Below are 10,538 nucleotides of genomic sequence, written 5' to 3'. Positions count from 1 at the left end.
ACTGTCTCTATAATACATCCTATATATTACTCCTAGTATCTCATACAATTTGTATTTTATGATTGTTGTTGCCAGGATAACTTGTGTATAAATATTCACAACTCTTATAACTTCATTTTATGAATTAAACCCTTCAGCATTTTGAGGTGTCCATCTTTATTTATTCAATGCCTTGGTATTGATTTCTACTTTGGTAGAATATTATTGTATACATTTTGCTTTTTTCTTTAAAATCACACTTTTAACATTTCTTTGAATTAGATTTACTCTTAAATGCAGCTACAGTTGGATTTTGTTTGTGATTTAACATTAAAATCGTTTTTAATAGGATTTGAAATCCCCCTGCGTGTCATATATTTGCTTTAAGGTCCGTCATTTTAAAAAATCTTTTTTTATAGTTTTTTAAAAGTCTGGTTTCCTTGCTGTTTGTTGAGATATTTGGAAGGGTACCCATTTTGTTGCAATGATTACTCTAATAACTGTAAGAGTTCTTAGTTTCATATAGTTTTAAAATTTTCTCTCTAAATCAGTGGCAAAATTAGCACATTTCCTTTTCTCTAATTCCCTTCTCTTTTCTCTAACATACCATATTAGCCAATAATATTATATTTTTGTGATAAATGTTGGTCTGCTGAAAAATGCTAATCATTCTACTACTTCTTTTGCTCCAACTTAATGTTATGCTTTGGCACTCAACTATTACAATGCAATCAAGAAATTTACTCAGATTTATTTCCCGCCACCTGTCACTTTACCTCCAATTTTGTGTCAGTTGAACTAGTAGCATGCTTACATCCTATTGTCCACTACTAATTCCCTTATAATTAAAGATTTCATTCTATTAATTGTTAAATAAAAATTATAAGAGGTAATTGTTTTGGACTGAGTTTCTACACTAGGCCTCAGTAAACTAAACTAAAAATAAAAATGGAGTCACTTATGCTAAAGTTCCACGTCACCAAACTCAAGGTACCTTGTTGTCTGATCTTGGAGAAATCAGAAGAAAGAGATAATAGTCAATTTCCCATCAAGTCAGTTTAATATCTTCAAAGGGCATGACAATGACATTTCCTCTGCCTTAATCCTTACACAGAAGAAATAGCCTGAGGTAATCTGATGTTAATCTATCAGTTATTTTTCTATTATTCTGTCTCCCTCTCCCTGCCTTACAAGAAAAATAACTTTGAAATGACTAATATATTTTGTGTTCTCTGTCTCAGCCTTCTTCAGCTCTTCTCTCTCTACGATGTCCACCCCCTCCTCTCAGCTCATCTGAATACTTTCTGTTTCATAGAATGAATTGTTGCCTGATTTTAGAATTGCAATAAAGTCAATCAAAATCTTTAAACTAATTTTTTTGTAATTTTGTCCTTTAATACATTCTACAATTTATTATTCAATGTTCATGCCATTCATCTTGCTTTGATTTCCTTAGGAAAATTTTTATCACCTGACATTCATTCTTGAATGTTCTCAATTTTTCCCTGGTTTTTGGTGTGCCCTTTTAGCATAAATGTTTTGGTGTATCAAACAAAAGTGTGGAATCTGAAGATTGTTTGTTTTCTAGAATTAAAAATAAGTTTGATTTGTTTTATTTCTCCCTGCTGTATTTTCAGGATGTGCAGGAGGAGAGAAGAAAAGGGAAATACTGACTGATGTGTCTACGTTTTAGAATATTTTGTTTTAGATTATCTTTCATTTTTGTTTTTCCTTTAAATAAACATAAAAATACAATTTGAAGAATTTGAGAAGTAGAAATATGATTACTTTGCTATTTCCAATTAAATGTAGAAAAAAGAGAAAAAGAGTTAATAATGACTGAGACTGCAAAATGAGAAATCATAAAATGGGGTCATTTTAAACTATGAAAAATTGTCTTATCTAACAGAATAAGACAGTAACACAGATTAAATTCTCACATGTATCAATATATAACCTGAAGTACAAGAGTAGTCCAATGTAACTAGATCAGATATTTAACAGAACTGGTTAAGTGTTGGGTAAACAATAGTTATTTAAACAAGTCTAAAAAGATTTTGCTTCTTTTAAAACAATATTTTACTAATATTTTCTAAGCAGAAAAATAGATATTTATAATTAGGAATGCTGAGGTGCTTGAATTATATTCTTAAGTAAACTATTCTTATTATTGTGTCTTTTTGAGTAAATGGCCACAGTTTCCAGGAGTGCTGTTGAAATAAAGCATATTCTGAAAAGCTTAATCACATAGTAAGTTCCTTAAACATATGCTGCCAAAAAAGTGATTTTTAAAGTTTTGTAAGCAACTTTTAGCAATTTATTTTTAAATTTGAAAATTACATAAAAATCAAGATTTCTTTGTGTTCTCAAATACTAGGTAGCAGAAAAACAAAGCCAAGTTATTTTAAATTGAATCTTATTGTTCACATAGTTTGAAAACTCACACCTTTTGTGGCCTATTTAACTTATAATTACTTCTAATTCTTCATAGTTTTAGAAAAATTTTCAGCTTAACCTCAAGACATTCTTTTTCGTATACTTTTTAAAAAGTACAAGTTTTACTGTTTTCTATCTAGTATAATAGCTCAGTTCTTTCCAAAGTACAGATATTTTAATGAAAATGTGTGATCCCTACAATACTAAAGTTAAATAATAATTTTCTGTTTTAAAAATATCATAATTATAAAATACAATTTTACTTGATGTTGTTATATCTATATAACTAACACTGAAATGGCTCCATTGTCTGGGGTATATACCCTGGCTCTTGGTTTCAGTGCAGAAAGAATTCAGGACAGGGACACACATGAGGAGTGGGTTCAGGAGCAGAAAGTTTAATGGAAAAAGAAGAGGGAAAAAGTTTCCTCATTTGAGAAAGCGATCAAAGAGGGTCTCTGAACTGTGGGAAATACAGTCGGTTTGTACAGAGGCTTGAGGAGGTGATGATTGACTTACATAGGGCTCAGGGGATTGTTTTGACCAGGTGTGCCATTCACATAGCCTGTGAAAAGACTGGCCCTCCCACCGTAGCCTTTTATTATGCAAATGCAGCCTCCACCTGGTGGTGGCCATGATGCTTGTACAAGTGATTTTTATCTGGAGGCTGCCATGACACCTGGCACACGTGGTGACAAGGAAAAGAGGGTGGGAGATGCCATATTGGGTGGACCTGGCTACCTGGCTTTCAGCCCCTGGTATTTGCATATCAATGCTTGCAGTTCTGATTTTTCAAGATGCTTTCTGTTAGATAAGAAATGTTTTGCGGGTTGCCTTTTATTAAAAAGAAAAGCCTTACTGAGGACTCTCATACCCTTACTATCTGCCTAATTTCTTCTTAACTCCTATATCAACACTTTCCCTTTTCTCTTCTAATATTTAGTTTTTCACTATTTATCTGATTGTTGCAATTTGTTCAAGTTGCGATTCTGTTCTTTCATATTGATGCATTGCTTTGATGAGAGGAAGATAGGTTTTTCTTGAACTGAAGATGGAGAAGAAAAAAGAATATATACACACATATGCCATATATATGATATATATCATTTATATGTGATATATGTGTGTGTATGTGTATAAAGGTTCATAAAACACAAAAGCAAGTGCTGTGGTGGTGGTGGTTTCATGTGGTTTCGGGCCCAGCCATATAAGCTGTGTCTAGGCTGCTTCCTCAATGTGTGTTAAGCCAAGCCTACAGAGGACAAAGTAAAAGATCAGAGTTCAGTGAACTGATTACTCTTAGTGACAAGAGAGAATAAAATCAAGATACTAAGTTGAATCAAGAGGAATTGTTGACTTTTCTTTCCTTTCTGTCTGTTATTTTTAATCACATTTTTCCTTTGTAGTTATATTCTGACCTTCCTTCCACGGCTTATTAAGAAAATTCTGACTGCACATTTCTAACAGTCACAAGTTAGTAAGCCTTCTTCTCTTCTGACACAGAATGGATTTCCTGGAGATTCATACATAATAGGGCTTTATCACTTCCTCCAGTGGTCTTAGAAAATGTGACCTCTCTCATCAGGGTATTTTTTTTGCCTTTTTACTTAATATATGGGAGCCCATGTGGTATAGAGCAGTAGCTATTTTAAGCTCTTCCTAGTTTATTAATCATACATATGATTCTCACTAACTTTTGCTCCTTGCCCATCAAGCAGTGAAGTAAAGGAAGTGGGTGTGTCTATCAGTGACATTACTGAGATTTATATTGCTAAGTAGTTCTCTAGTTAATAAGATGGCACAGCAGAGCTGCCAGCTGAAATTAAATTTAAATAACACAATATACCCATCATATTTTCCAAATGCTGGCTAGGCCTGGCAAAGGAATTAAATATTATTAAAGTCATCTGTATCCTCTAAGATGACAACAGAACTCAGACAGTCTGACTTCAGCTCTGCTTGTCATTTAGCCCATTGTTTTGTTTTTTTGGCTTTGATCCAGGTGAATAGCAACAATGACCTAAAACAAAACAACCAAAAAAAAAAAAAAGTTTTGAGTGACAAAGTGACCAAGATTTGTGATAAATATTTTGTTTAAATTTATTTATTTATTTTTATTTTTAAAATTTTTTTTAGTTATATATTTATTTTTAGAGACTGGGTTTTGCTGGGTTAACTAGACTGGTCTCAAACTCTTGGACTCAAGTGATCCTCTTGCCTTAGCCTCCAGAGTAGCTAGGATTACAGGCATGAGCCACTGTGCCAACCCAGTGAAATTCATTCACTTTAAATTTGCTCATTCACAGCACTAGCATTTTATTCCTATATAACTCTTATCACTTTAAATTGTATGTATTGGCTGGGTGTGGTGGCTCACACCTGTAATCCCAGCACTTTGGGAGGCCAAGGCAGGCAGATCATCTGCAGTTGGGAGTTTTAGACCAGACTGGCGAACACACTGAAAACCTTTCTATATTAAAAATACAAAAATTAGCCAGGTGTGGTAGTGGACGCCTGTAATCCCAGCAACTTGGGAGGCTGAGGCAGGAGAATTGCTTGAACCTGAGAGGCAGAAGTTGCAGTGAGCTGAGATCATGCCATTGCACTCTAGCGTGGGTGACAAAGTGAGACCCTGGAAAATAAAAACAAAAACAAACAAACAAAAAAACAAATTGTACTGTATTGGCAAGAAGGAGAGGGCACTGCATCTTGTTGTTTCTGGAGGAGAATAAACAAAACATTCTAGTTTCCCCTCTGGTCCTATTTTCTCCTTAACAATGAATAAAGCTACATTATTACATAGGAAAATATAATTTTTTTTTTATTTTTATTATTATTTATTTATTTATTTATTTTGAGACAGAGTCTCGCTCCAGTCACCCAGGCTGGAGCGCAGCGGCGCGTTCTCGGCTCACTGCAAGCTCCGCCTCCCGGGTTCACGCCATTTTCCTGCCTCAGCCTCCCAAGTAGCTGGGACTACAGGCGCCTGCCACTACTCCCGGCTAATTTTTTGTATTTTTAGTAGAGATGGGGTTTCACTGTGTTAGCCAGGATGGTCTTGATCTCCTGACCTCGTGATCCACCCTCCTCGGCCTCCCAAAGTGCTGGGATTACAAGCGTGAGCCACCACGCCTGGCCGAAAATATAAAATTTTTAAAAAGGTGGAAAATTGGTTCCTAAAGTACTAGCACCAGTATCTCTAATCAATCTCTTTAAGGGTGTTTAAATGCTATTAGGAGAAACAAAGTCTTGAACTATATTTATCCAACCTCAAAAATTAAATTAGCAAGTTATAAACATTTTTAATAATCTGGGAAACGAAAACCCACACATTTTTATCTTGCTGAAAAGATTATTATAGATATTTTAGAAAATGAAAAATAGTTTATTATCTGTGTATTCAGAGATAAACTGCATAGGACAGAAGCCAAGGTAGTCTAGTAGTTTAAATTACCTCAAATCCCCAAAATGTTTTTGGTCCTCTTCACTCCTGCCTGATAAGCTTGATCCTTGTTTTATTGAAAAAATAGTAGCAAACTGAAAAAGGGGTTCTGCTTATCCCTACCAACACATCTTTCGACTCCCATATATTCTGCTTTTCAGCTTCATATTATGTTTTTGCTAATTTTATGCTTTGATGTAAGACTGACTTCTTCAATTTTACACCGGAACTCATCCCCTCCTTTTTATTCTATGTTATCATCCCCAGCATCATCAATAGTTCCCTCTCTACTCATTTTCATCAATATAAACATGTCATCATATCTCACTTTTTTAAAATGCCCCTTCAATCCAATAACTACCTTCACTTACTAAACTATATTTCTGCTTTATTTTGAAGTATAAATTTCCAAAGTAGTTGCTTCCAATTTCTTTCCTGCCCTTTTCTTTAAAGATGCTCCAAAGAAGCTTCCATTGTGATCATTGTGCTGAAAACACCCTAAGTAACCAATAGTCTCTTTTTTATTTAACTCTATGGATAATTTCTAGGTCTCATTCACTTCTTATTTTTGGCGATAAGCAGCATTTCATACACTTGATTATTCATTTCTTCTTGGAATACTTTCTTTATTTGGGTTCTGAGACATCACTCTCTTGGTTTATAACTACCTAACTCATGATACAGTCTAGTATCATTTGCTGATTCCTTGTTTTGCAAACTTGTAAATATTTGAGGGAATCAGGATTCAATCCCCTGACTTTTTGTATTCTTTTTTTCTAATCTATACTTTTAGTGATCTCATGTTCAGACAAGACCTGTATCTGAAACTGTAGACATATATCACACACCTATTGAACATAGCTACTTGGATATCTAATAGGATTCACAAAATTAACACTTGTAATTGAACTGATTCCCACCAAGAATAGTGTTACTTTTCCAATTTTTCTATTCCTGGAACTGAAAAAAGTATTTCACAGTTCCTTAGCCAAAATTTCTTGGAGTCATCGTTTACTTTTTCTCTTCCTATGACACTCAATATGCAATAACTCAGCTTTATCTACAAAATATATCTGAATTCAAATTAGTTCGTACTACCACCACAACTAACACATGATTAAAAACACCAATTTACTGCACCAGGATTATTGCAATAATTGGTCTTATTGGTTCTAATTTTGTTTCTTAAATGTTGATTCTGATACTGGAACCATGGGGAACCTTGACCACTTCTCTTTTTCAATCTCCCAAAGGCTCCACATTTCACTGAAAGTAAAAGCTGAGTTCTTAAATTGACTCCTGAGGTTCTACAAGTGCTATATACCCTCCCTTCGCTATCATTTTCTTCACTTCCCTTCTTCCAATGACATTAACAACTTTGCTGTTCTGCAAACTCACCAAGTAGGCATATGTACTAGCTTTACATTTAACATCTGTTTTTTTCCTAGAATGCATATTTTTTAATACAGATATTTCTCAGGTTACATCCTGATAAACCCATTGTAAATTGAACTTTCTGTTGAAAAGCTCAAGGACTTTTTTTCCTCAGTCATGTCTACTCTACTAATAAACCTATCAAAGACATTCTTTATTTCTATTACAGTGTTTTTGATTTCTAGCATTTCTTTTTTATTCTTTCTTGGAATTTCCTTTTTGCTGCTTATATTATTCATCTGTTCTTGCACATTGCCTACTTTTTCCATTAAATCCCCAACAAATTAATGTCATATATATTTATAATTACTGATCTCATAATTCCAACATTTTTGTCATATCTGGGTCTAGTTCTGATGTTTGCTCAGTTTCTTCAACCTGTGCTTTTTATCTTTTAGTGAATCTTGTAATTTTTTTTCTTACAGCTAGACATCATATACTTGATGAAAGGACCTGGGGTAAATAGGCCTTTGGTAATGTGGTAAGTTGTGGGAAGAGGGAAAGCATTCTTTAGTCCCATAATTAGATCTCAGTGTTTTAGTGAGCCTTTGCTCCTGGACTATAAACTTTCCAAGTGATTATCATTCCCCCTCCTCCCCTTGGGTGATTCAGCATAGCTAAAGTGTGACGGGGTTATGCATTTTCCTTCTTCCATGTTGAAGGCTAAAATCAGCTAGACTTAAGTGTTCTCCTTTCCCTAGGTCAGTTAGAATCTCATAAAATCCCATTAGATTAGGCCCAAGTGAAGTAGTTTTTCTTGAGGGCAGGCCTTGTTAAGAAGAGCAGAATGCCTTGATGTATTTCAAAATGGTTATTTTCCCCTCCCCATTTATCTATTTTGCTTAGGTTTTCCTCCTTGGTACTGGTTTCTGCTCAGGTGTTTCTGCTCTAAGTTGTGTTTTGCAGTATGTGCCTGTTTGCCTTTCTAATTTTAAGGGCAGTGCTTTGCCCTGTGAGCTCACTTCTCTGATGGTTCCAAGAAGAATTGTTGATTTTTCTGTTTGTTCAGCTTTTTACTTGTTGTTAGAACTAAGTAATTACTGCCAAGCTCCTTACGTCCCAGACTAGAAAATTAATATTCTATATTTATTTTTTAAAGTGTATTTTGACCTTTGAAAGTAATCATTCAGTGACATGAGGAACATGTCCATCAACTTTTAGATATCTAGTAGCATACAATGAACAAGACCTAAATACTTATTATTATATTTAGAAAAAAAATTTAAAGGATTATTCTTATAAGAACTATATTTACATCTACTTTTATGAGATTACTTTTTCACAATAGAATATTTCACAGATTTAAAAAAAGAGGCCACCAGCTAGTGGCTAGTTAGCTGAGTATGAGATGAGTGCCAAACAATAAATTAAATCTAGACATTGGAAGATAAAATACTTTCTTTTTCTGTGATGTCTTTTATAGCAGTTCAGCACCTTGCTCACCATATTACAGTTGGGGCCTTTGTCACCGAGGGTTGAGTAATAATTTGTTGACAGCTGTTACAATACACAAAGTACCACAGTATTTATCTGAAATCTCTTGTAATCAGTTAAAATGCACACATGCGCACACAAACCTGTGTGTGTGCACACATACGGCCAATCAATGCACTCAACTGCTGGTCAGTTTCAAAGCTTATTTTCAAGAATACAGTGGTGTGATTAACAGTTTCCTTTGCTTATATTTGCATTGTAGGCATAATCAATTTTTTTCTGATATTCCATATTGAGGATAATATGTATTTATAATTTCACATATTTCCTCTCAGTTCTTCATTCTTTTCAAGGAAAACCCTTTTAGTCTATATAATTGTTGAAGGCAAAACAAATTTAAAATAAATTGTTTATTCCACTATTTATATGAGTCAATCTGATCTTCAAAATTAATATGCTCCTTTGGTAAAAATAAATAAATCTACTTTTATTATTAAGCTAAACTATCCCTAATACCTAGGTAATTTTGTTTTCTGTTCGAAAAGAGTGAACTGAAAGTGCAGCTTTTCAAAAAAGACAAAAAATAATTTTATTAATTGGAAATATCAATCTAAATCACAATGTGAAAATGTTTAGTATCATTGATATTCATCTCCAGACTGAGATACTTGTGAACATATGTGAAAGGTCATGTAAAGTAGATATCATCTATATTTGATAGTGACAGGAGCCATACAATGCCTACGCAGATAGGGGTGCATACCTAGAGAAACCCCTCCTTCAAGCCAAAAACAGCCTGCTGATTCTGGATGAAAGCCATGACCCAGAGTGAGAACTTCTGTTCTTGTTTGCCTGCCCTTTCCAATATTGATTCTTTCTGAATAATAATTTTTAACCCATCAAATGTTGCCTTTTCCTATACTACCAACGGCCTGCCCCTCCCCCATCCTGTGCCTATAAAAACCCCAGACTCCGCCACACTGGCGGGAGATGACACGACTTCAGATGGGAGGCCACCTTTCTGTCCCCTCTCCACTGAGAGCTGTTTCATTGCTCAATAAAATTCTCCACCCTCATCGCCCTTCAATTGTCAGCATGACCTCATTCTTCTTGAATGCAGGACAAAAATTCAGGACCTACCAAACACAGGTACTCAGAAAGCTATAATACTCTTGCTCTCTGCCATCTGCCAGTGGAGGGCAGCTGCCCTACACTACAGAAAGCAATGACGGACTTGAGCCAGTCCCAGAGCTATAAGCCAGAGTGGGGCAAGGGGCTGAACCAAGCTGTAAACATGCAGCTGTCTGTTGGGCTGCAGAGGCAAGACTAAAAAGCTAACTAGCATGTTGTAACACCCTTTCTGGGGCTTTGGGGTCATGGGCATCTCTGCCTGGGCACCACCATGTTCCCCTCAGTGAGGCACACCTAGTCAAGTCGCAAGCCCTGCACGGAGCCACCCTTGTGCATGCATTTGGAACAGCCAGCCAGACCCTGCACTTGCTTGCTCCCACACACCCTCCTGCCAGGTGCTGAGTGAGCAGTCACGGTGGCTGCAGGAGCCGCAGGCTGGAGTACAAGCAATATGCATCCTGGCAGGCCAAGTAGAGAGGGCATCTCCTGCTGCAAGCCAGGCAAACTGCCTAAGAGAAATCCTGCATCATATTTTTGTAGAAAATAAAATGTATTTAGTATAGTGTTTGGCAAGATTGCCAAGTAATTCTAACTATATGCCATTTATAAACAAACATCATTTGAATATAATAATTTAATGCTCTTTCTTACATGTATAAATTTAGGGTGGCTTAGTGTTCTA

At 35.4% G+C, this 10,538-nt stretch overlaps 2 annotated features.

Annotated features, from left to right (window-relative positions):
- Window positions 2,721-3,308: an enhancer, noted in NCBI's record as "OCT4-NANOG hESC enhancer chr3:103852410-103852997 (GRCh37/hg19 assembly coordinates)". NCBI's record gives its function as "activates a minimal SCP1, AML or CMV promoter by ChIP-STARR-seq in primed H9 embryonic stem cells {active_cell/tissue: H9 hESC(primed)}" and the evidence as "EXISTENCE:reporter gene assay evidence [ECO:0000049][PMID:30033119]".
- Window positions 9,703-10,203: an enhancer, noted in NCBI's record as "H3K4me1 hESC enhancer chr3:103845515-103846015 (GRCh37/hg19 assembly coordinates)". NCBI's record gives its function as "activates a minimal SCP1, AML or CMV promoter by ChIP-STARR-seq in naive H9 embryonic stem cells {active_cell/tissue: H9 hESC(naive)}" and the evidence as "EXISTENCE:reporter gene assay evidence [ECO:0000049][PMID:30033119]".

The sequence above is a fragment of the Homo sapiens genome, chromosome 3 (genome assembly GCF_000001405.40).
Source record: "Homo sapiens chromosome 3, GRCh38.p14 Primary Assembly".
NCBI lineage: Eukaryota > Metazoa > Chordata > Mammalia > Primates > Hominidae > Homo > Homo sapiens.
The sequence above is the reverse complement of the archived record's forward strand: the minus strand, read 5'-3'. Positions and strand labels throughout refer to the sequence as shown.